At 56.7% G+C, this 26,110-nt stretch overlaps 1 protein-coding gene across 2 annotated transcripts in view; it reads left to right on the forward strand.

Moving 5' to 3' along the window:
- TAFA5 (TAFA chemokine like family member 5) overlaps window positions 1-21,499 on the forward strand; it is a 262,380-nt gene extending 240,881 nt beyond the window's left edge. For both annotated transcript variants that reach the window (NM_001082967.3, NM_015381.7), the window contains exon 4: window positions 19,406-21,499. In NM_001082967.3, the coding sequence (NP_001076436.1) occupies window positions 19,406-19,414 (9 nt within the window). In that variant the 3' untranslated portion in view covers window positions 19,415-21,499. The remainder of the gene's footprint in view (window positions 1-19,405) is intronic.
- The last annotated feature ends 4,611 nt before the right edge of the window (window positions 21,500-26,110 follow it).

A 26,110-nucleotide genomic window follows, 5' to 3' on the forward strand; every position in this document is an offset into this window, starting at 1 on the left:
ACATGAGCAACAAAAGTGCGTCTTGCTACAGGCCCACCTTGTTTTATTGTACTCTGCTTTATTGCACTTTGCAAATATTGCCGTTTTCACAAATTGAAGGTTTGTGGCAGCCCTGCCTTGAACCAGTCTGACAGCACCATGTTTTCAACAGCGTATGCTCACTTTGTGTCTCTGTGTCACGTTTTAGTAATTTCCCCTGTATTTCAAACTTTATTACTATATCTGTTACGGTGATCTGTGATCATTGAGGTTTGATGTGACTATGGCAGTTGTCTTGGGGCACCACAAACCATGCCCGTGTAAGATGGCACACTTCACAGATGGATGTTTTCTGCATTCTGACAGCTCCACTGACCGGCCAGTCCCGTCTCTCCTCTCCACGGGCCTCCCTGTTCTCTGAATCAACAATATTGAAATTAGGCTAATTAATAACCCTACAGTGGCCTCTAAGTGTTCAAGTGAAAGGAAGAGGCGTCCGTCTCTCACCTTAAATCAAAAGCTAGAAGTGATCGAGCTTCGTGAGGAAGGCGTGTCGAAAGCTGAGACAGGCTGAATGCTAGGCCTCTCGCACCAGTCAGCCAAGTTGTAGAGCAAAGGATAAATTATTGAAGATAAATGCAAGTACTACTCCAGTGAATATACGAATGATAAGAAAGGGATAGAAAGTTTTAATGGTCTGGAGACAAGATCCAACCAGCCACAATATTCTCTTAAGCCAAAGCCTAATCCAGAGCAAGCCCCAACTCTCTCGAATTCTGTGAAGGCTGAGAGAAGGGAGGAGGCTGCAGAAGAAAAGTTGGAGCCAGCAGACGTTGACTCATGAGTGTTAAGGAAAGAAGCTGTCTCCACTACATAAAAGTGCAAGGTGAAGCAGCAACTGCTGTTGGAGAAGCTGCAGTAAGTTCTCCAGAAAATCCAGCCAGGACCATTGATGAAGGTGGCTCCATTAGACAATAGATTTTCAATGTAGATGAAAGAGCCTTCTATTGCAAGAAGACGCCCACTGTGGGATTTCCCACTAGAGAGAAGTCAGTGCCTGGTTTCGAAGCACCAGAGGACAGGCTGACTCTCTTGTTAGAGGCTAATGCAGCTGGTGACTTGAAGTTGAAGCTGGAGTTCATTTTCCATTCTGAAAACCCCAGGTCCTTGAAGAATTAAACAAACCTACTCCGCCTGTGCTCCATACAACGTACAACACGGCCTGGATGGCAGCACATCTGTGTATGGCATGGTTGACTGAATCCTTTAAGCCCACCGATGAGACCTACTGCTCAGAACAAAAGATTCAAGATATTGCTGCTCATTGACAATGCACTTGATCACCCAAGATCTCGGATGGAGATGTTCCAGGAGATGAATGCTGTGTTCATGCTGCTAACACAACATCCATTCTGCAGCCCATGGATCAAGGAGTAATTTTGAAATTAAAGTCTTCTTCTTTAAGAAATACATTTGATAAGGCTATAGCTGTCATAGATCATGATTCCTCTGATGGACCTGGGCAAAGTCAAATGCAAACCTTGTGGAGAGGATTCACCATTCTAGACGTCATTAAGAGCATTTGTGATTCATGGGAGGAGGTCAAAATCATCAAAATTAACACCTGTTTGGAATAAGTTGAATCCAACCCTCATGCATGGCTTTGAGAGAGTTTAAGATTTCAGTGGCGGAAATCACTGCAGATGTGATGGAAGTAGGAAGAGAACTCGATTTGGAAGTGGAGTCTGAAGAGGGGACTGGACTGCTGCAATCTCAGGATAGAACTTGAACGGATGGGGAGGTACTTCTTGGGGATAAGCAATGAAAGTGGGTTTTTTTGTTGTTTTGTTTTTCTGAGACGGAGTCTTGCTCTTGTCACCCAGGCTGGAGTGCAGTGGCGCAATTTCGGCTCACTGGAACTGCAAGCTCCGCCTCCCGGGTTCACGCCATTCTCCTGCCTCAGCCTCCCGAGTAGGTGGGTCTACAGGCGCCCGCCACCACGCCCAGCTAATTTTTTGTATTTTTAGTAGAGACGGGGTTTCACCGTGTTAGCCAGGATGGTCTCGATCTCCTAACCTCATAATCCACCCGCCTCAGCCTCCCAAAGTGCTGGATTACAGGCGTGAGCCACCACGCCTGGCCAGAAAGTGTTTTTTTGACATGGAATCTGCCCCTGGTGAAGATGCTGTGAACATTGTGGAAATGATGACATAGGATTTCGAATATTCCATAGGCCTAGTTGACAGTGCAGCGGCAGGTGTGAGAGAATTGATTCCGATTTTGAAAGAAGTTCTTCTCTAGTTAAAATGCTCTCAAACAGCATCGCATGCTACAGAGAACTCTTTCATGAAAGGAGAGTCAATCGATACAGCAAACGTTAGTGTTGTCTTAAGAAATTGTCACATCCTCCTCAACCTTCAGCAACCACCGCCCTGATCAGTCAGCAGCCATCAGCATCGCGGCAAGACCCTCCACCAGCAAAGAGATGACGACTCCCGGAAGGCTCAGATGATCCTTAGCATTTTTAGCACTAACTTATTTTTAAGGTATGTACTTTTTTTAGACATGATGTGTTTGCACACTGAGTAGACTGCAGTATAATATAAACATAGCTTTTATATGCACTGGGAAACCAAAAATTTGTGTCACTCTCTTGATCGTGATATTTACTTTATTGCGGTGGTCTGGAACTGAACCCACCATATCTCTGAGGTATGCCTGTATTTCAAAATCAGGTAGAATGACTATATCACCAGACTGAATATTTTAAAAAGTCTTCTAATTCAATAGATGCTGGGAAAGTCACTAGGGGGACACAGTCTTACTCATTACAAAACAAATCAAATGAGCAAAAGCACCAAAGCCACAGACCTCCAGTCAGCCTGGAGGGTAGGGCAGGCCCACCCAGGGCCCAGCGTCCATCTGAAACCCAAGCCAGCATGTGCTTCAGCCTCCAGCTCTGAGATTTTGGGACACAGAACCCAGTTGCCCTATGTCTTTTCAAATGGAACCCTCACAGGCAAGTTGCCCTATGTCTCTTCAAATGGAACCTTCAGGGGAGTCCTGCATGGTGACTTTTTGGACGTTCCGGCAAATGCAATCACATCAGTGTGTGATATGAGAAAATAACGATCCTTGTTACTTGCAGGTGAGGTAAGCAGGTGCTTCAGAAACTCTAGAGATTGGCTGAAATGCCTTGGAAACTAATAAGATTTCAGTAAACTGGACCGAGTATGAGTATAGAAAGTTCTCTGCTTGTATCCAATGTTAAAGTTTTCACAGACCCAGTCTGTGGTGTAGATCTGTGTTCAGCAAACTCCAGCCTGCAGGCCAAATCAGGCCCATCCGTTCGTGTGTTCATTCGCACATTGTCTACAGATGGGTGGGAGCCACAGCAGCAGAGTTCAGCAGTGGCAAAACAGAACCTATGGCCCCAGAGCTGCAAATGCATATACTGTCTGACTCTTTGCAGCACAAGTTTGCCAACCCCTGGACCAGACTAATAAAAGTTCTTCAGCCCCACCTGCCAAGAGCTGGAATGGGCAGCCGCCTGCACAGTGTTGGTCAGGATGGGAAAGTGGTGAATTTGCTGGTCACCTTTAGGAGAAGTCCACTCTGCATATGCAAAAAAGGGAGCTACCGTACACAAAAACCGTTGCTGCTGACTTCCAAGCACATGTGTTTCAAACTAATGATTTAATTACAATAAATGCATGAAATAAATGAGAGGGGAAAACTATTGATCACAGCAGAAAACAGAAAGTAACTTGAAAGAACATGAGTAAGAAATGGTTGGCACCTGTGTAAAATGTAAAGACTTCCCGTGAGAAATGAGAAAAGTCTGGAACAAATGAAAGATGCCATAGACGCTGACATGGGGAGTGGAGGGCGAAATATCGTGAGGCCAGCTGTTCTTTCAAAAGTTAATCTTTACATTTAGTAAGATTTGAATCCAGTTTCCCATGGGTTTTCAGAATTTCACAAGATGATTTTACGTTTTATCCTAGAGTGTAATTCAGTCTCGGGCGTCAAAGACTTTGGAACGGAAGACTCACCCAGGTGTCCTCGTCCTGCTGGTGTAGACACGTGTGTGAACAGCAGGAGAGGAGCCGTCTGGGCTCTGGGCAGTGTGTGAGCGGCTCTGGGCTTTGGGGCGGCCTGCCTGGCCCAAGCCTGGGCCCCACCACTGTGACCTGCCTCAGGAGTTAACACAAGGACCATGTTTGGCAAAGTCCCAGCACATAAGTAAATGCTAAAATGTTAGCTCTTCTGACTGCTGTTTTCTGATCCACAGAAGAGGCCAAGTGAACAGCCCCGTCCTGAAATGAACCCAGGTGTTCCTGAGAGGTGATACGGATGTCGTGAGCATCTCAAATCAGTGAGGATGGGACAGGGTCACCAGCAGCAGGTGCTGGGAAAATCAGCTTTGGATTTGGGGAAAAACCCAAGTTGGACTCTTACCTCACACCATGTTCAAAACTAAATTCCCCTGGTATTGCAGAGTAAAGGATAAAGGAAACTCTGAGATGACCAGGAGGAAGTGGAGGGGAATATTGATCTGCATGTGGCGTGAGGAAGAACGCTGCGATTGTAAACTCAATCGGAGAAATCCATGATGACAGCAAACGCCTGACCCTGTGCACCTAGGCACTCAGGTAGATTAACTCATTCATTCCGACAGCTGCCCATGGGCTGCAGACTGTTCTCATCCCGTTTTACAGATGAGGAAACGGAGGCACGGAGGTGCTAAGTAACGTCCTGAAGACCACCCACGAGCCACAGAGCTGGGATCCTACCAAGGAGCTGGGAGCTGGAGCCCCTGATCTCCTCTAGCCACCCCGACTGACCTCAGAACCTCAAACGTAGGACAGTCCAGTCACATGCATGACGCTAGGAGACAGATCACAGCGTGGGGAGCAGGAGGTGGATCACAGCTGGCCAGCGTGTCTCATAACCTTGTGATAGACGCACAGTCCACAGGAAGATGGGCAAAGTCCGCAAATAGAGAATTCCCAAAATACGAAATGGAAGCAGCCAGAAAAAATGACAGAGACAGTCACTGTCAAGAAGGGCGACCAAAACACCCACACAGAGGCCACTCAGGTTCATTTGTTTTCTTTTTATCTGATCTCCTTTTGAGCTGACTTAAAGGATGCTAATAGGAATGAAGATCCGCCAGTCTCTCTGGAAAGCAGAAAGCAGTTAGGCACTCTGTGGAGAGAATCTGAAATTTGTACTCATGATGCTTTGGAAGACAGTTTGGCAGTGGCTGAAAATGATGGAGTTACCAAGGGAGGCAGCAATCGCCCTCCTAGAGTCCACAGAGTCCATCCCCCGAGGAGGAATGAGAATCACACTCCTAGAGTCCATCCCCCGCAGGAGGAATGAGAATCACACTCCTAGAGTCCAGAGTCCATCCCCCCAGGAGGAATGAGAATCGCACTCCTAGAGTCCATCCCCCGCAGGAGGAATGAGAATCACACTCCTAGAGTCCAGAGTCCATCCCCCCAGGAGGAATGAGAATCGCACTCCTAGAGTCCAGAGTCCATCCCCCCAGGAGGAATGAGAATCGCACTCCTGGAGTCCAGAGTCCATCCCCCCAGGAGGAATGAGAATCGCACTCCTAGGGTCCCTCCCCCCAGGAGGAATGAGAATCGCACTCCTAGAGTCCATCCCCCCAGGAGGAATGAGAATCGCACTCCTAGAGTCCATCCCCCCAGGAGGAATGAGAATCGCACTCCTAGAGTCCAGAGTCCATACCCCCCAGGAGGAATGAGAATCACACTCCTGGAGTCCAGAGTCCATCCCCCCAGGAGGAATGAGAATCGCACTCCTAGGGTCCCTCCCCGCAGGAGGAATGAGAATCGCACTCCTAGAGTCCATCCCCCCAGGAGGAATGAGAATCGCACTCCTAGAGTCCATCCCCCCAGGAGGAATGAGAATCGCACTCCTAGAGTCCATCCCCCCAGGAGGAGTGAGAATCGCACTCCTAGAGTCCATCCCCCCAGGAGGAATGAGAATCGCACTCCTAGGGTCCATCCCCCCAGGAGGAATGAGAACCGCACTCCTAGGGTCCATCCCCCCAGGAGGAATGAGAACATGTCCACACACAAACCTGTACACGCCTGTTCTTAGCAGCACCGTTCCCAACAGCCAGAAAGTGGAAAGAGCCCAAGTGTCCGTCAGCGGTCCCACGGAAAAACAACCTTCATATACAGCCATGACTGGAATATTATTCAGCCTTAAAAAGGAATGGCATTCTGATGAACCGGCAACACGGATGAACCTCGGAAACATGACGCCGAGTGAAGGAAGCCAGTCACCGAAGTCTGCCCTGTTGGAGCCCAGTGATGTGAAACTTCCGGAACAGGCAAGGTCACAGAGGCCGAATGAAGGCCCGTGGCCGCCAGGGTCCAGGACGGAGATGGGGAGTGGTTGCTGACGGGTATGGCGTTGCTTTCGAGGAGATGAAGGTGTCCTAAAGTTGGCTGTGGTGATGGTCGCCCAACCTGGGAATTGATGCTTTAAGTGGCAAATTTTATTGTATGTGAATCATATCTCAATAAAACTGCAGCACACAGGTACTTAGGCATAGCCTGGTATTTGAGGCAGAGAGGCCCTGACCCGTCTCTCCCCTGGTCCCCAGGGGCTCTGCTCTGACAGCACAGCAGCTGCAGGTGGGGGCTGCCCTGGCAAGACCACCATGCCCCTCTCCTGACCTCTGTTGATGTGAGGACTCTGCCCCGTGTCGAGCTCAGAGGCCAGACACCTGGCCACACAGAGAGGCCTGTCCCACCCCAAATGGCCATTTGTCCTGAACGTGGACACAGGACAAAGACCATGAGACAGGGAACCTGAGAACGTGGCTGGGCTTTGACCTTGAGCTTCAGAAGCTACTTGGCCCCCACAGCTCGAGGGCAGCGCCTGGCCTTAGGGACCCCGAGCTGCCCTAGTGGGAGGTGCTTCTGACGCTGCCTTTGAGGAGCGCCCCTGAGCCTGCCCTGCTGTCCCTGGTCCCCTCAATGCTGTCCACCCATGAACTCGCAACTGAATGAGGCTGTGGAGCTGCAGTCGCCGAGATGCTGTGGTCGCCCCTGATGCCAGCCGGGGTCTTCTCCTGGGGCTGGGAGAGGGCACCGCACACTGTGCTGGGTGAGCCTGGGCACAGGGACAGAGCTTCAGAGCTGCACCATGGCACAGCACGGAAGGGGAAGGTTGGAAGTGGCAGAGCCACGTCCTTCACACGCCCTTCGATGTTGCCCGAGAGGTGGGCAGTTCCCAAGGCCAGTGCAGCCTCAGGGATGGAGATGCCAGCCCTGCTCCCTAGCGCTGGATGTGACTGTGGCTCCAGGTGTGAACACTGGCCCCAGGGCCTCCGCAGGGCAAATGGGCAGCCTTGTGGCCAGGGAGGGCGGCTTCCACCTCCCAGGGAGCTGCAGCCTCTGAGGTCAGAGGTGGGGTTGAGCTGGACCGAGCGTGAGATGCTGAGTGATGAGTGAGGGCCGCGGTCACTGTGCAGCCCTGTTGTGCCTCCTGCGGTTGCCTGTGTGGGGGCCTTCCCTGGGGGATGCTGTTGGGGGGGCTCTGGCCTCCTTTGGAGGACATGAGGGAGATCCTGGGTCCTCTCATTTAGAATTCAGTGAGGCTGAGTCCAGGAACCCACCTTTGGAGTGGACGGAATGGGTGGCCTGCTGCAGTGAGCCTGGCTGCCGGGGCCAAGTGTGAAATTTCCTTCTTGAGCAGGGCAGTGCCTGCAGAACTGGGAGCCGAGCACGGGGAGCCCAGCATGGGGAGGGCCTTATTGTCACTGGAGGAAAGGAGGGAAGCCCCCGGAATGTCTATATTGTTTTTAAAATTGAGATATAGCTCTCAGCAGTGAAACACACACATCTTAAAGGTACCACTGCGTGGATTGTGATGTCACCAAACCCACATGGGGGCCCCCAGGTCAGACACAGAATGTCCCCTGCAGCCCAGCGGGTGTCCCAGTCAGCACTCCTCCCGGGCAGCCACTCCTGGGCCTCTGGGCGCACAGCAAGGGAAGGTCGAAGGCCACGCCTGTGCTCCTGAGTCTCATCTCGCTGCCTCTGGCCTCTCCTGACTCCTTGTACAGAGCCCCCCAGCTCAGTCCCTCCAGGACCCTCTACTCACCCCAGTGAGGAGTGATTGCACCACAGCCTCCTCACCTGAGACCATCTGCGCCAATAATCACATTATTAAGTGAGGGAGGCCATGATGTGCACACTCCTAAACGGGTTATTTTAATTTAAGAGGTATAAAAAGCCAACATTCCCCGGGCAGGGTGTGTTAGTTTCCATGATGCATAACCAGGCAGCCGCTGGGTCAGCCCTCAGGAGCTCCGTGTTTTTTGCCACTTGTGGCTCTGTCTTCAGTCCTGAGAGTTAATCGGCCGTCGCAGGCAGCCCGACATGGCACCTTGACCTTGCTGCTGCTCAGAATTCAGGGCCAAGATGGGACGCTGCCTTCATGGCCCAAATGCATTGTCACCGGCTCCTCCTTTCACCACTGGATTATAAACCAAGCCACCCCTCGTATGAGCATCTCACCTGGATCCTGGTATTCGTGATTCAAAACAATGAACCTTAATGCTTTGCTCCCTTCTCCAAAAAGGAAAAATCGTGGTCTATCTGCAAAAGCAGCAGCTCCATAGAAATAGCAAACTGCAGCCCACCACTACCCCAGCACTGCTGAGAACCCTCCCCCGCACCAGGGCCCAGTTTCTGGAAGCTTCTAGGAACTTCTCAAAGACCCAAAGATAGCTATGAGGCAAAGAGAGGAAATATACCATTGGAAAGACAGAAATATAATTTTCCCATATTTAAATTAAATATTTTTTTTTCCCAGAGAAGTATGCTAGACTATTTAACCAACCAAGAAATATGTGTTCTTACAGCTTAGCAACTTGCAGAAAATGTTGAGACTGCGGTCTGGTTCTGTCAAAGCTAAGCGAAAGAATACACGCCTTCCTTTCCAGGGCCCTGGCACTGCCCATTCTGCTTCCTTCCCCAGCTCTCCACCTCATGGCACAGAAGGGCTGCATAGCGAATGCCTGTGCACACTAATCCCAGCCTTGGTTAGGGCGGTCTCCTGCCTTCAGCCCGAGGACACCTGCATGCAGGTGCTGTGTCCTCTGGGGTGGGTGAGTGGCCGGCACTGTAATTGCTGACACAAGGTTAGACATCTGTTGCAGCCCAGATGTGTCCAGAGGTGATAACTGATCTTCGAGCTCGCTGCTCAGGTTAACAATGACCAATAAAGGATGAAGTGTTGAGCAGATCTGGGGAGGAGCATGTGATGGCTCCGCCTGCCTCTCTGTGTTTGTCGTGGGCTTGCTTTCATTGCTTGTGGACTGGTTCTCCTGGTGCCATCCTTCCCTCTCAGAGCTGACAGCGCCTCCCCGTGCATTTGCCGTGCACAGCTCCCTTTATTCCCCGGCGCGAGGCACGATTACTCCATGGTCTATGGCAGCAATCTGGCCGTCAGGACGTTGAGTCAGCAGAAGCTCTGGGGGCCCTGCACCCTCAACTGTCCAGGACTGCAGGTCGGCTTTCTAAGTGGGAGTCTGATCGGTGTCCGGATGTGCTGATTCCTTAGAACCCACCAAGTGCCCATCCTCCTGGACACTGCTGCCCATGCCCATCCCAGCTGGCTTGTCCTTAATTAGCACAGGGAGGAGCTCACGCTGCAGGCCCCTCTCCTCCAACCCTGGAGAGGGTGAATGGATGCTCGAGGCTTTTCCTAACAGGACCCAACAGTGACTTTGCTAACTAGGAGCCCCAAGGAGAAGCCTATACCCCACCCTGCTGGGTGTGGCCTCCCTGGCTGGGAGGACGGCAGGGCAGGAGGTGGCTGCAGGAGCGGGGGCCCTGGGGCAGACGAGCTGGTCGCAGAGCCAGCCTCCCCGCATTGGCTGCGTGGCTCTGAGGACTCACAGAGCCTCCAGACTCCGGCCCCTCCCTGTGTGTTTGCAGATAAGACACAGCAATAGCCTTCACTCTCTGGTTGCAAGGAATAGTAACCATTTCCCACTGCTTAGTGAGCAAAAGTGGGCTTACCAGGGGGGCAGGGATGGAGCTGTGCCCCGGCCTCAGTTGGCGGATCTGCCTCGTACTGTCTCCTTCCTAACGTGGAAGCACGTGGCAGCGTCGTGGCTTCAGAACCGTCTCAGCGAAGGTCCAGCACCGTCACTGGCCCACACTCTCAGCCAGGGACAGATTCCAGAGAGAGCAGATGGGCTCAGCATGTCACGTGTCCACCCCTGATGGAGATTCACACACGAGAGCCCAGCCCTGGTGTTGGGGGCAGTTCACAGAGATGTGGTGGCTGCGATGTGGCCTCGCAGGGTCTGCAGGCACCGTGCTGAGGACATGCCCCCGGCAGGCCTCACAATTGCCCTGTTCTCAGGGGAGCTCAGTGACCCCCCGCCCTCACCCCTGAGAACCCTGGGACTGTGCCAGGTAAACAGCCTTAGAAATGGCAGCAGTGATGAGAACATGGCCGCAGGTCCCATCTGCCTCCTCGCAGGGCCCCGAGTCAGCGCTCAGGGAGGCTGCGTCATCCCTGTAGGAAGTGGAGACCCAACGTCCCCGAGGATGTAGGAAGTGGAGACCCAGCGTCCCCGAGGTGCGCTCACAGCGCTGTTGTGTTGGACTCTGGGTGTTCCCACCACCCTGGCTGTGGTCCTTATCCGCACAGATGGAGAAAATGAGGCTCTGGGAAGTGAGGAGTCCGTGATTCCACCCCAGCCCCTTGGTGAGCTGCCCAGCCCAGATCCTGCCCCCCGTTCCCACACTGCGAAGCCGGAGTCGTCCTCACCGCTGGGTCCCACCCTGCGAAGGTGGAGCCGTCCTCACCCCTGGGTCCCTCCCTGCAAAGCTGGAACCGTCCTCACCGCTGGGTCCCATCTGGGCACCTTGGGAGTCACCCGGCATGTTCCCCAGCACCTCCTGCGTCGGGCGTGGAGGGGAAGGTGGCGGGACTCTAGGCATTTTCTGCATGTGAACTTCAGAGAGAGTCCTCAAGTCCCTGAGTCCACAGGTCAGCCCCTCAGCAGCTCTTTTGGACTGAACGGCATCCCCCAAATCTATACATTTAAGCACTGACCCCCAGTCTGAATGTATTTGGAGATAGGGCCTTAAAGGAGAGAAGCTTAAGTGGGATCCTTGGGGTCCAGGGTCCTGATTCAAGAGAACCCTGTCTTTCTAAGAAGAGGAGGTGAGGACACAGACACACACAGGGCTGAGCCTGTGCAGACTCAGAGATGCCATCTGCACGCCGAGGAGAGGGGCCTCAGAAGCCAGCCTTGCCGCACCTGTGGATCCCAGACGTCCAGCCTCCTGGGCTGCAGACAGCGAATGTCCTTTGTTCAAGCCATCCAGTCTGGGGTACCTGGTTACAGCAGCTCCAGCAATAACACGGCAGCCTTCTGGATGAACGCTTGTAGAAGCTGATGAGGAAGGTCGCTGTGGCTTTTCTTCTTTATTCTGAGTTATACTCTGCAATAGAAAAAGTGCCCTGCATTCTCTCTTAGGCTGAACTCTTGAAATTAAACAGTTTTTTGTTAAGAACCCCATGGTTGGGGGTAAACACTGTTCCTATCCCGTGTTACAGACGGGGAAACTGGGGCTCCCAGAGGCTCCAGCTGGGAGGCTGTGGGAGGTCGGGGCACCTGCCAGGCTCTGGAGGGGTCTGGCTGCACCGGCTCCCCTGCCCAACCCCACAGGCCCCCTCATCCTTCACCAGGCACAGCCCTGCCCCACCCCACAGGCCCCTCATCCTTCACCAGGCACAGCCCTGCCCCACCCCACAGGCCCCTCATCCTTCACCAGGCACAGGTGCACGGGGCCCCTGCCAGGTTCGGGAAAAGAACTGACCCCCACGAGGATGGTCCTGGTGTTGAGAAACCTGCTTCACAGCGGAGGACACAGACAGCAGAGTCAAGCACAGTTTTAGTCAGAGCCCACATTAACACAGCAAGAGCCCAGCCAGAGCAGGTGGGGCAGGAGACGGGTGGAGCGGGTGGTGCTGTGTGGCGGAGCTGGCGGCGCAGTGGAGCGGGCGTTGTGGTGGACCCGGTGGCGTGGCAGACCAGGCGACGTGGTGGACCCGGCCGCATGGTGGACCAGGCAACGTGGTAGACTGGGCAGCGTGATGGACCAGGCGACATGGTGGACCGGGCCGCATGGTGGACCAGGCAACGTGGTAGACCGGGCCGCATGGTGGACCAGGCAACGTGGTAGACCGGGCAGTGTGATGGACCAGGCGACGTGGTGGGCCGGGTGGTGTGGTGAAGCCGGCAGCACAGTGGAGCAGGCATTATGGTGGACTGGGCAGCATGGTGTATTAGAAGAGGAGAGATGGCCTGGGGTGCTCAGCGGGGCTGAGTCCCCAGCTGGGAGCTCAGGTGCGATGAAGCCCAAGGGACTGACGGTGTGAGGAGGGCCCTCTGCTGCCTCCATGCAGCCCACACGCGGGGCCCCCACAGTGCGGACATGTTGGGGCAATGCTGCCTGGCCCCGCCCTCAGCCCAGCCCTGGGACGCAGGCTCAGCAGCCCCCGGATTCCAGTCAACATCCCCAGGACTCACTCGGGTCAGGCACAGTGTCCAAGCTGTGTGAGTCTCCGGGAGCCGCTGGAACAAAATGCCACACACCCGGTGGCTTCAAACCATGAAACCCGTTCTCACTGTTCTGGGTCCAGACGTCTGTGGTCACAGTGTCTGCTGGGCCGTGCTCCCGCAGGAGGCAGCAGCAGAGGGTCCTCCCTGCCTCCTCCTGCCATTCTTCCGGTTCGGGGGTCCAGACGTCTGTGGTCACGGTGTCTGCTGGGCCGTGCTCCCTTGGGAGGCTCCAGCAGAGGGTCCTCCCTGCCTCTTGCAGCCGCTGTGGCTGCGTGGCTCCCGCCTCTGTCTCTGTCTGCATGGGGCCTGCTGCTCTGTGTGTTTGCCCTGAGTCCAGATTTCCTTCTCCCTGTAAGGGAGTGGTATCCACCCTAATCTGATACGACCCCATTCTAACTCGATCACATCTGCTAGAACCTGCTGCCAAGTAAGACCCCATGCACAGGTATGGGGTCAGGATCTTCATGTCTGTTACTGTAGAACACAGTTCAGCCTCAACAGAGGACTAAGTCTAGTACAGCACAGTCTTCATTCCTGAGCTCATGGAGGAGGGGGAGGGCTGCCAGGTGCGTCCTCATTCCGGCGTACCACGGCCAGGAGCGGACTGTGGGGGAGCTGGGCCCCGCCGTGGGCAGCCGAGGCGCTGACGTCTCTGATGTCCAATCTGCCAGCCCAGCTGTGTTGGGGGAGCTCCTCTACCCTGAGGGAAAGAACCCTGCCTGCATTCGTCTTTGCCGCCCTCCTGAGTCAGGTGCCTTGTTTATGGCAGATGGATAAATGTTTGACAGATAAACAGATGATCCGTCCGCACATTCCTCAGCCGATGCCCCCACCTGCCCTACAGCAGCCGAGTGTTGCTTGGTGGCCTGGGGCACTGTGTCTGGCTTCAGTGATCACACCAGTCGTGATGAGTTTGGGGGATTTTACTTGTTAATTTTTCTGCGTAGTTTCAGTCCTAGGGCTGGGTTTGCCGTCGGGGAAGCTCCGAGTTGCGCCTGCCAAGGCTGTTCTGTCGAGATGGAGTCATCCCTGAACCCTGCACTTGTGCAGCCCCACGGCACGGGGGTGGCCTCGTTCCCAGAATGTGTGTCTTCGGCCGTGAGGAAGGGGCTGGCCCTAAGGACGATGCTGGCTCCATGATGGCCCTTAGTCCCTGACATTTCTTGGTGGGATCAAGGAGACCGAGGGGAGCTCTGGGCCCTGTGCGTTGAGCATCGCTCTGTAGAGGGTGGCTGACTCAGGCTCCAAGGTGGGGGCCACAGACTGTGGTTCTCTGGTGACCCCAGATGAGGGCCACCCTTGGGCAGCTTCACCTCCTGAAAAGGAGATGTTTTTGGAGTCTCGTGAGATGAAGGCTGGAGCGGTGTGGCGAGCAGGGAAGGCCTGGAGGCATCGATACCTGGTGGCCCTCCCCAGGCCATGACCCGTGTGGTTCGTGGGATTGGAGCCGGGTCCCAGTCAAGTTGTAGAGCCCCCACTGATTCCCTCAGCCCTGCAGCCTTGGGGAAATGGGCTTTGCAGGGCACTCGGCAAAGTCGCTCTGCAGACACAGCCTCCTCGTTAGAGAGCGGTGCTAAACCTGTGTGCTCTTCCGGCGACACGGTCCTAACTTGGGTGGTTTCTTACATTTCCAGAGCACCTTTACGAACATCTTTTTCTCTGTGCTTCCGCAGCCCTGGGAGGCAGGGGGCGGGTTCCTTTTTTTCTTTTCTTTATTTTTTTTGAGACAGAGTTTTCACTCTTGTTGCCCAGGCTGGAGTGCAGTGGCACGATCTCGGCTCACTGCAACCTCTGCCTACCAGGTTCAAGCGATTCTCCTGCCTCAGCCTCCCGAGTAGCTGAGATTACAGACATGCACCACCATGGCCTGCTTTTGTACTTTTAGTAGAGACGGGGTTTCACCGTGTTAGTCAGGATGGTCTCGAACTCCTGACCTCAGGTGATCCACCTGCCTTGGCCTCCCAAAGTGCTGGGATTACGGGCGTGAGCCACTGCGCCCGGCAGGAGTGGGTTCTGTCTCATCCCTGGGACCATTAGCCTGTGAGGGTGTCTCAGCAGCCCTGAGCCCTGAACCCGAGTCTGCTACCCAGTCCTGGCTCTTTGGTGGAGCAGGCTCATTGCACAGGGCACAGCTTTGTCATCGGCAGCTGGCCTGTCCAGGGTTCACCCTGAGCATTGGCACACACGGCTTTGTCGGCGGCGGCTGGCCTGTCCGGGGTTCACCCTGAGCATTGGCACACAACAGCTTTGTCGTCGGCGGCTGGCCTGTCCAGGGTTCACCCTGAGCATGGGCACACAACGGCTTTGTCGTCGGCGGCTGGCCTGCCCGGGGTTCACCCTGAGCATGGGCACACACGGCTTTGTCGTCGGCGGCTGGCCTGCCCGGGGTTCACCCTGAGCATGGGCACACACGGCTTTGTCGTTGGCGGCTGGCCTGTCCGGGGTTCACCCTGAGCATGGGCACACACGGCTTTGTCGTCGGCAGCTGGCCTGTCCGGGGTTCACCCTGAGCACACACATGACATAGTGTTCAATGGCTCAGCCCTGTATTTTGGCGTTACAGGAGTTACCTGAGGTCCTAGAATTCACTCCGTCTTCAGTCTCAGCTGATGACTGTTCATCTGGGGCAGCAGCGGTGCCTCCTGTCAGATGCCTCTTCTGTCCACTGTGGTCCACGTGGGTACTTGGAGGGGGCCCGGGAGGTGTCAGCACCGGCCCAAAGATTTCATATAAACCGTGGCTCTTCTGCCCCTGGTCCCACAGGCTGGAGCTTGGTGTCAGGCACCTCTCCTGGCAGCACCACGGGAAGGAAGGTCCTGAGAGGCCTCGCTTCACCACACACGCGTCAGAGGAGGGCGGGCCGGTGAGCTGAGCTCCTGCGTGAGAGCGGGAGCTGCCACCTGTGAGACCCGCAGGGGCACACTGTCCCGGGGAGAGAGGTGTGTGAGCTGCACACACAGGATGCAGCCTCCAGGAGACAGCGATGGGCTGGGGTCCTTGTGTCCCTCACTGGGGCACATTCAGCGTCCATTCAAGGAAAGGGCGTGTGTCCCCAGGATCCGCCTGGGCTGAGTAGCTTGGTCGCCTCCGGCCCCTGTCCTTGTGGTTTCTGGCTGGCACTGGGCCTGGCCCTTCTCGGTGTTGTCTTTCTGCTCTCAGTGAAGTCGTCCAGGGCATTCTGGGCTTTCAGGCTGGCCTCCACCCCGTGCCGTTCAGGAAGCACCCCACTCGTCAGGCAGGCAGACACCCCAGTCACCCGTCACTCTCATTTTCAACATAAGAGACATTGACATCAGCTGGACATGGTGGCACGTGCCTGTGGTCCCAGTTGCTCAGGAGGCTGAGGTGGGAGGATGGCTTGAGCCCAGGAGTTCAAGGCTGCAGTGAGCTGCAATCGCACCACTGCACTCCAGCCTGGGTGACAAGGCCAGACCCCGTCTTGTTAAAGAAAAAAAAGAGAGATGCTCACGTGGTGCTGGCTCTATTAGATCTCTTCAAGCCATAGCACTAACTCAGGAAGTGGGTGTGTGTTTACACATGGAGAAACTGAGGCACAGGGGGACGCTCAGAGAGTAAGTGGATGTTCAGATAGTAATTGCTGCTGCAGCATTCGGACCCGGGAGGTGTGCCCCGCCCTGGGAAGAGGGGTTCTAGCTTGGCCTCCTACCAGGTGGCAGCCTAGTCCAGCCTTGTTACAGGACAGAAGCCGGAGGGGCCTCGTCACCTGTCATCAGGGTGGATTGGGATGGCAGCCTGCTTCCTCAGCAGAGGGTCAGCCTGCTCCGCACCCCTGGGGCCTGGTGCCTGCTGAGCTCCCCGTCCCACCCCGGCAGCCATCCTCAGGCAGCTCACCAGCCTGATGGGTACCGGACCCCCATGTCCTCAGGAGGCTGGTGGCCAGCACCTCCCTTCCAGTAGGACCCTCGCCCATACCCTACAGAGTGGGCTCAACGCCCTGGAGCCCAGGAAGGAGTGGTTCACAGGCTAGGAGGGCGGAGGGCAGGGGAGTGGACACCATGAGCCAACAGGACTGGAGGCCACCATGGTGTCACCATTCCCGCCCGGCCCTGCCCTGCCCTAATGCACTTTGCTGCTCAGCCTAAGAACTAAGGGGCCCTGGGACTGGAGAAGGTTCCCTGTGAAGATGACCTGCTGCAGCTCAGGACGCCTGCTGGGATTGCTAGAATGAATGCCCTGTAGCCTGAGTCCCTGATGTTCTGCATGGTGATTTGAACAGCAGCAACCAACCACAGCCGCTCCAGCCCTTCTCGTGGACCTGGCCTTGGGGTGCAGGAAGCGTTGGGGCCTTGGTTGTGACCTGGCTCTGCACCTTCAGGGAGCAGCCCCAGGAAAGAAGCCAAAGGCTTCCTGAACATGGCTGGGATTCGGTATGTATTTCCAGAGTGGCCTCCCTGATTCCACTTGGGTTTTTCCCAAGATACAGTGTCCCTCGTCCCAGGGGTCCGTGGAGGTGGCACCATGGTCTTCACGCTGTCTTGCTGCTTTCTTCTTACTGTTTACTGGAACCTTTAGTATGGGCTCCATTCAGGACAGCGTGTTCTGGCCAGGCACAGTGGCTCATGCCTGTAATCCCAGCACTTTGAGAGGCCAAGGTGAGCGGATCACCTGAGGTCAGGAGTTTGAGACCAGCCCAGCCAACATGGTGAAAGTCCATCTCTACTAAAAATATAAAAATTAGCCCGGCATGGAGGCGCATGCCTGTAGTCCCAGCTTCTCAGGAGGCTGAGGCAGGAGGATCACTTGAACGGGGGAGGCAGAGGTTGCGGTGAGCCGAGATCGCACCACTGTACTTCAGCCTGGGTAGCAGAGCAAGACTCTGTCTAAAAAAAAAAAAAAAAAAAAAGAATAGCGTGTTCCTTCATACAGCAGGCTCCTCCTGACCTTAACGTCAGATGGAAACTTCTAGTGAGGAAGAGAAAGTATCATTTACCTGGATGAATGGAGCTGGGAGGTTTGGTTCTGTTGTTTGTGTCTGAGCACAGGGTAAACCTCTTATGTAAGCTGAACACGCGCTCCACAGGCTCAGGACCACGCCCTCCGGTCACTCCTGATGGAAAGGCTTGTGTGGGCCAAGCATCAGGTGCCCGCAGGTGAAGCAGGCAGCTAGGGACCACACCGTTCATGCCAGCTTGTTGGGCATCCACAGCCCGGTGTGATGGCAAGCTCACTCTGGGGCCAATTCTGAGCCCTCTGGGGACTGGGTTCTGGAACAACGGCTGCAGACTGCAGGACACAGGCCTTGGCCTTGGACTGTGGATGACCGAGCGCCCGTGGACCCAGCAGAGGGGAGCTCAGAGCCAGCTTCCTTTCCAGGCCCCAGGGGTGCAGTGAGGAGACACACCAGCTGTGACCCAGGCCACAAGTGTCCACAGGCAGAGAGGGCTGGCTGGGCCACAGGCAGAACGGCCGTGGTGGCAGCTCCAGGAAGCCAGGTTGGGAAGGCGTCTGAGGCTCCCTGTCTCAAAGGTGTGCCATGGGGCTGTTCTGTCCCCGGGGCAGGTCCCCTCACCCCTGAGCCTCAGGTCCTGTTGAGTGTGGGTTCTAATCCCACAGCCCCGTTGGGTAGACGAGGCTATGACAAGGTGACGGCAAGGTCGTTCCCAGAGCAGTGACTGGCGCCCAGGAGCTCAGGAACCGCAGCTGGCCAGGGTGCTGGAGATGACCCCTGGCCCTGACGGAACCTGGGATTTGGGGAGGCCCTGCAGTTGCGAGACCCTCATCATCACCGCCCCTGGCTGAGTAAGGAATTTAACACAAGGCAGATGAGGCCTAACCCAGGTGGGCAGGTGCCTGGAGGTGCCCGCCCAGGAGACAGCATCAGGGTGGGCTCAGAACTTTCAGCAGGGCCAGGGTCCCATGATGAGTTTCCTGGCCAAGGTCGGTTCAAGGGCAGATTCTCAGGGCTGCCTGGGGCCCAGGGAAAGGGTGAGTGTCAGGGGGAAGCTGAGCCCCAGGGCCTCTGCCTCCTGTTGAAGAGAATACTCCCGGGGCCAGATGGGACAGGGTCTGTGTCGACATGGGGACCGTGTGAGGATGGAGGCAGAGATCAGGACGATGCGTCTCCCGGGCAAGGAGCACTGAGGATTGCTTGGAGCACCAGAAACCCCTAGGGGGCCTGGAGTGGACCCTCCCTCAGATCCTCCAGCAGGAACAGGCCCTGTCCACACCTTGAGTCTGGGCAAGAAGAACTAACTGCTCTTTCAGATCCCCATCCCCCAGTATGTGGTCATTTGATTGGGCAGCCACGGGAATGGCACACAGACCTGTAGAGGCCCGGCGTGGATGGCCAGGGGAGGGTGGCTCCGTGGTGGGGGTGCGGCCAGGTCCCCCAGCCTGCAGCGACCATTCTGGGTGAGCTCTGCAGTCTGTGGCCTCAGAGGCCCAGGAAGCTGGGAGGGGTTTGAATTGGATACAGGGAATAGGGAGCCACAGATGGTTCTTGAGCTGTGGAGTGGCAAAGTGATATGGCTGCATAGAGGAAGGAAGCCGGCAAGTGGGGTGGGAAGGCCTCTGGCCGAGGCTGACAGCCCCTCCAGGTCGTGCACAGAGGGCGCCCCACTCTCCCGAGACACAAGGAAGGGTGGGGATTTGGGGGCACTGTCTGGTGGCCTGGATGTCCCTCACAGCACTGAGGATGAGCTCTTCGTTTCAGGCCCTCCAGGAGGCCGGCTGGCAGGAGCCGGGGAGGGAAGAGGAGCCTGTGTTCCCTGTGGCCCTGGGCAGCGTCTGCAGGAGGCTCACCCTCTCTCTCTCTTTGCTCCTCAGGTCTCCTGACAAACACAGCCCCTGAGGGGCCCCGGGAGTGGCCTTGGCTCCCTGGAGAGCCCACGTCTCAGCCACAGTTCTCCACTCGCCTCGGACTTCACCCGTTCTCTGCCGCCCGCCCACTCCGTTTCCCTGTGGTCCGTGAAGGACGGCCTCAGGCCTTGGCATCCTGAGCTTCGGTCTGTCCAGCCGACCCGAGGAGGCCGGACTCAGACACATAGGCGGGGGGCGGCACCTGGCATCAGCAATACGCAGTCTGTGGGAGCCCGGCCGCGCCCAGCCCCCGCCGACCGTGGCGTTGGCCCTGCTGTCCTCAGAGGAGGAGGAGGAGGAGGCAGCTCCGGCAGCCACAGAAGGCTGCAGCCCAGCCCGCCTGAGACACGACGCCTGCCCCAGGGGACTGTCAGGCACAGAAGCGGCCTCCTCCCGTGCCCCAGACTGTCCGAATTGCTTTTATTTTCTTATACTTTCAGTATACTCCATAGACCAAAGAGCAAAATCTATCTGAACCTGGACGCACCCTCACTGTCAGGGTCCCTGGGGTCGCTTGTGCGGGCGGGAGGGCAATGGTGGCAGAGACATGCTGGTGGCCCCGGCGGAGCGGAGAGGGCGGCCGTGGTGGAGGCCTCCACCCCAGGAGCACCCCGCGCACCCTCGGAGGACGGGCTTCGGCTGCGCGGAGGCCGTGGCACACCTGCGGGAGGCAGCGACGGCCCCCACGCAGACGCCGGGAACGCAGGCCGCTTTATTCCTCTGTACTTAGATCAACTTGACCGTACTAAAATCCCTTTCTGTTTTAACCAGTTAAACATGCCTCTTCTACAGCTCCATTTTTGATAGTTGGATAATCCAGTATCTGCCAAGAGCATGTTGGGTCTCCCGTGACTGCTGCCTCATCGATACCCCATTTAGCTCCAGAAAGCAAAGAAAACTCGAGTAACACTTGTTTGAAAGAGATCATTAAATGTATTTTGCAAAGCCTAAAGTTATATATTTAACAGTTTTTATATGTTGTATATTTGTAGAAAATCCTATTTAACAATTAACGTGGCAGTCCCGGCCGTCCTGAGAGTCGGGCCGAGCCCCGTGTGTTTCTGAAGACTCTGGGGGTGGGACACGGCGGGGAGGTGGTGCCCCGCGGACCCCGGGGTGCCAGGCACGGAAGGCGGGACTCTGGGAGAAGCGTGCGGAGGACCGTGGCGTCGGCGTCCCGGATGTGTCGGTCGTGCCCGGGGAGGCCGGGTTCCCCTCGCTGCGGGCCAGGCTTGGCTCCTGATTCCCTCTCTGGTCCCTGTATTGGTCAACACTTGAGCGTACAATATCTTGAACATGCTTCTTCCAATGGGTTTTGTTTCCCATTTCCTGCCCCTTTCGCCACTCACGGACCTTGAGGCCAGTTGACGGCCCTTCTCCCCACGCCTGTGTCCCCGCGTTCTGAGAAGTCCTCTGTCTTCGTGTCACTAGGTCCAGAAAGTCGCGCCGGGCAGAGGCGCAGGCGGGGCCGGCAGGGCCGAGGAATAAGCGACAATTCTGGTTTTTCTCCCCTGGCCGTCGTTCGCCAGCCTCCTTCATTTTCCTGAGTTCCCGCTGAAGTATATACTACCTATGAGTCCAATTAACATGAGTATTATGCTAGTTCTATCCTACTAAAAAAAACGTAAAAAAATAACTATATAGAAGCTGTTCCAGCAACCATAGACTGAAGATACGAAAGAAAATCCATTTATTTAAGACCTGTTCCGGTATCCATGAGGACATAATTTACCTTTCAGTCACCACAAATTTATAGGCATTTGTATCCTGGACTAAAAGAAGGGGCTGAGGTTGGGTTTGTCATCACAGAGGGGGTGGGCCTGGAAAGGGTCCTTCCCAAGCTGCCCCGGCTCCGGCGGCCCGGGCCGGCAGCCTCTGCCAGCCAGCGTCCTCACGGCCTCCCCCTCGCCTGTTTCTTTTGAAAGCAAGTGTAGACACCTTCGAGGGCAGAGATCGGGAGATTTAAGATGTTACAGCATATTTTTTTTTCTTGTTTTACAGTATTCAATTTTGTGTTGATTCAGCTAAATTATGAAAAATAAAGAAAAACTCCTTTGATAAGCATGGCTTTTGTTCCCTGGGCGTGGTGTCCTGGGAGAGGGGCTGTGGCTGGTGAGGCTGGTGGGGATGACAGGTTGGGGCCAGCACAGGGACCCCCAGGGTCAGAGCAGACAGTGCCTGCAGCCCTCACGGCATAGCCGGTGCCGCCTGTGAGCCCCTGGGTTCTTCTGCACCCACAAGGATGGCCTCTGAAGCCCAGCCCCAGACGAGTGGGCAGTGCCTGGCTGCAGCCCTCTGGGGGGCTGTCATCCCTGCCTGAATATCGCTGCCCCACACAGACACTGCGCCCTGAGTCCCTCCACGGATCTGACGTGCGGCCGCCTGAGTGTGGCAGGCATCGGCTCTCCTTCATTCCTCCCCTGGCCGGTGGGGAAGCCCAGGCTGTCAGTAGGGAGGCTGGCCCCAGGTTCTCGTGAGCTGGCCCCACACAGGTGCCATACACAGAGCTCCCCAAGGAGGCCCAGGTCTGAAGCACCCCCTTTGCAGAGACATCCACTTAGAGCAGGTTGGAGCCCAGAGCCTCCTTGCTGCCCACACCTGAGGCCACCTGGGTGGGACCACCAGGTACCCCCCAGCTGCTCTTCCATAGGGCATCTCGGACTGGGCAGCTGGGCTGGGGGGCTGCGCCACGGGCTGCCTGGCCGTCTGTGCTTCCTTCCAAGGAGACGTCACTGGTCTTTGGAGCCATCAAGGTGGACAGACAAGGCCTCAGCTTTTCCCATAAGGGGCTGGGTTTCTCCTGGGAGGGAGGGCAGGAGGCGGAGCTACAGTGGCTGCAGGAGCACCTGGGCTGGCCTCTTCCCCATCGGGTGCCCTGGTGCCTGGGCTGGAGGGTCCTCCGTTCCCTCCCACAGAGGAGAGGCACGGCATGAAGTATGTATTCTGTGGCTTTGTGGTCAGCACAGTGAGACAGGATGGGGCAGCCTGGCCAGGAGAGGGGCCTCCAGCCCGTTCCTGTATCACAGTGAGAGCTGGGAGGAGAGGCGTCAGTGTGCTGGGAGGAAAGCAGCCCCCACCATTGATACCTGAGGAGCAGCCCCATACCCAGAGGCTGAGCAGAAGGGCCTGAACCCTGGCCTGTCCTCCTGCTATGAGCCCCATGCGGGCTCCTGGGGGTGTTCCTCCCAGGAAGCTCCCTGCTGCCTGGGTCAGGAGGCACCGGGAACCTCAGCGCTGGCTGCCCAAGCTCCCTCTGCTCCCCATGCACTGAGGGAAGGAGGTCGCTGCCTCGCCTAACTCAGGCTGCTGGGAGCAGTACCTGCCCCGTCCAAGGAGAGAACCGGTTCCGTCCCCAAGGTGAAGGGTCCGGGGAGAGCCCTTTGCAGGTGTGGATGTCCACAGATGGGCCCCATCCATTAGTGTTCTAGGGGTGGTCACAGCCTCCTGTGCGCCTGAGAGCCGCCTTCCCAGGGCCCTGGGCCAGCTGAGCCACCAGTGGAGTCTGCAAATGAGACACTCAGAGATAGTCCTCAGCCTCCCAGGACCCTCTGCCCAGGGCCCCCACTGGCCACCCTGTGCAGCCCCAGCAGGACAACAAGAGCAGGCAGAGGCCACACCCCAAGGGCACGACCTTGGTTAGGGGCAGTCCTGGCCACTGCTACCTAAGGGGCAGGGCCAAGTGTCTCCATCCTCTCTGTCCCAGGCAGTAGAGCAGTGTCACGAAGGCCTGGCTGGAAGCCACACTGCGCGGCGTTCCACACAACGGCCTGAGGCCGGCCATGCTTCCTCTCCGAGCCTCAGTTTCCCCATTGATAGAATAAAGAGAACCTCGCCAAGCTCACGAGGAGTCAGGAGGTGGAGGGTGACCAGCACTCGAGGCAAAGGTGCTCGTGGTCCTGATCGAAGCCTTGCACTTCCTTCCCAGGCCCCGTGTCACCCTTGAGGGGTGACCCTGGGCACTGGTGCTCGCCCGCCACTCCCACATCATGGAACCTGTCCCAGCTCCCCGTTCAGTGCTGGCCTTCAGAGATGCTGTCTGGGCCAAGCTCTGTCTCTCCCTCTTAGTGAGGTCTGTGACCTGGGACACATCGCTTCTCTGAGCCTCAGCTGCTAGATCACAAAGTGGAGACCCCGCAAGCCTCTGCCCTCCTGAGGCCCTGGGGCCAGGGTAGGCACCTCCTATGTGGGTCTTCCTTCTGCCGTCCCTGTCTCAGCCGTGAGGTGCCCCTCCAGACTGGCCAGTTCAGACTGTGGATGGGATCCACTTCCCAGGGGCATGGATCCACATGGGGGCACGTGTGGGTAAGAACAGGGCAGGAGGCAGTGGGCTGGCATGGGTAGGGATGACCCAGCAGCAGCAGGGAGCAGGCCGAAGGGCCCTGTCGGAGAGCGAGTGTGTGCGTGTGAATGTGTGTGTGCCTGTGGTGTGTTTGTGTGGTTTATGTGCATGTGCAGTGTGTGTGCATATGGGTGTGTATGTGTGTACACATGTGTGCATGTGTGTACACGTGTGTGCATGTACGGATGTGTGTGCACGTGTGTGCATGTGTGTACACGTGTGTGCATGTGCGGATGTGCATATGTGTGTGCACGTGTGTGCATATGTGTGTGCATGTGTGTGCGCACGTGTGTGTGTGCGCGCATCTGTGTGCTTATTTTCACCAGCACCCTCATGTACTGAGCACTTTCTGAGTCAAGGGTCCAGGGAGGAACCCTGAAGGATTCCTGAGTTTAAGGAGCCCTCAGGAATGGGGAGTGGTCCCCAAGGTCAAGGAACCCCCAAGGTCAAGCAGCCCTCAAGGTCATGCCCAGAGCGCCTGTCGGAAGGCAGCTGAGGCAGGCTGTCCTGGGACCGTTGGAGCCCACCCAGTGTCCCCAGGTCCTGCACTGCCCCTGTCCCCCCTTGGGTTCTGCACTGCCCGTGTTCCCCCCGCCCGGGTCCTGCACTGCCCACATCCCCCCTCAGGTCCTCCTTCACTTCCTGAGGTCCCCCCCAGGGTCCTGTACTGCCCATGTCCCCACCCCAGGGTCCTGCACTGCCCGCATCCCCACTCAGGTCCTCCTTCTCTGCCCGAGGTCCCCCCAGGGTCCTTCACTGCCCGAGGTCCCCCCAGGGTCCCACACTGCCCATGTTCCCCACCCCAGGGTCCTGCATTGCCTGCGTCCTCCCCTGCCTAGTGTTTTAGATGCCACAGTGACCCGTGGCCTTGGCATCCAGGGCATGACCACTCTGCTGTTCTGGTCCTGAGCTGAAGTCAGCTTGAGATGTCAGTGCCCCCACAGAATGTAAGGAAACAAAATCCCAGAGACCCTGGCACACCTCTCAGCAGGCGGAAGTGGGGCCTCTGTTCTTGCTCCCGGGCAGGGAAACACTAGGCAGAAACTGGGCAGAGGCCTCCAGCAGCCCCCAGCCCCAGCCTAGACTCTCCCCTGGGAGCCTGAAAGAGGCCCATGGGCCACTGCCCTGCTGCCTTAGAGGGCCCAGGCGAGCCTGTCCCAGGAGAAGCCACACTGGGCTGGAGGAGGGTCCAGGGGAGGTGTCCCATGTGTGAGTCTTGCCGGGATGAGGAATGGGGCTGGGTGGGCACCAGGCTGATCAGGGGGAGCCAGGATTTCAGGGCAGCAGGGACAGCAAGGACAGCAGCCTTCCCTGCACCCTGGGTGCCAGCGCCCTCATTTGAGCATCTGTCCCAGCCGCTGTTTCCACCAGCATCTGTCCCAACCGCCCAGGGCTGCCTCCCTGTCCCCCCGCTCCTGGGAGGCTGCGTGCCCCGTGGAGATGGGGGACAGGGATGTGGGAGCGTGGCCAGGCCTGGCACCTCCTGCACAGCCTGGGTCTGGCCCACTGCAGATGCTGCCTGCATTGGTGGCCTCTCCGGGTTATCAGTGAGCTCTGGGCAAGGTGGGCACTCCGAGCCCTGGGCCTGCTTCCAGAAGTCTAGGTCCTTCGGTGTCTCAGCCACCCCAGGCCTCAGGTGCAGCCTCTGACCAGGCAGCACGGGCCTTGCCGGAACACCGCATCCCCTACTCCAGCAGGTCCCTAGCTTGAGGGGGTCACCCCTTCCGCAGCACTGCTCTGCTCAGCCCTCACACTGGGGGACCTCTTAGTTCCCAAGGGCTGTCCTCTGCTCCTTCCGCGCACTGGCCTGTCTTGCGCTGTGGCCGCGTTTGCCTTCTCCATTGGGCTGTTGGCTTCCTTAGAGGACATCCTGCATCTTAAATACCGTATTTCTTCCCTCTGCGCCCAGAGTCATAGAATTACTCTGAAATAATAGCCACATTTATTTTCTCCTTTTACGAATGTCACCTCATTTGTTCCTCCTGCCAATGCTGCAGGGAGGGGATTAGTGTCTTTCTCGGGTGGGTGGTGAGGTGGCCAGGCCGGCACCACGTGGGTCAGCGTGGGATGCGGCCCCTCCTCCTCCGTGGACACTCACTCAGAGGGCTTCCTTCTGGGGTGAAGGGAGGGGGAACCTGGTTCCTGCAGGCCAGTGCCACTCAGTCCTGTCTCGAAGCGGGAAGACAAAGGCTGAGGAAGGAGCATCTGATCCCACCCATGGAAGGGCGCTGAGGAAAAGGCCATTTTGACACCTGTGAAATCGGCAAGGAGGACCTCATCAACACCGCTACCACAGGGGCCAGGACTGAGGACGTGGCGTGAGATGGGCTCAG

This window comes from Homo sapiens, chromosome 22 (assembly GCF_000001405.40).
Source record: "Homo sapiens chromosome 22, GRCh38.p14 Primary Assembly".
Taxonomy (NCBI): domain Eukaryota; kingdom Metazoa; phylum Chordata; class Mammalia; order Primates; family Hominidae; genus Homo; species Homo sapiens.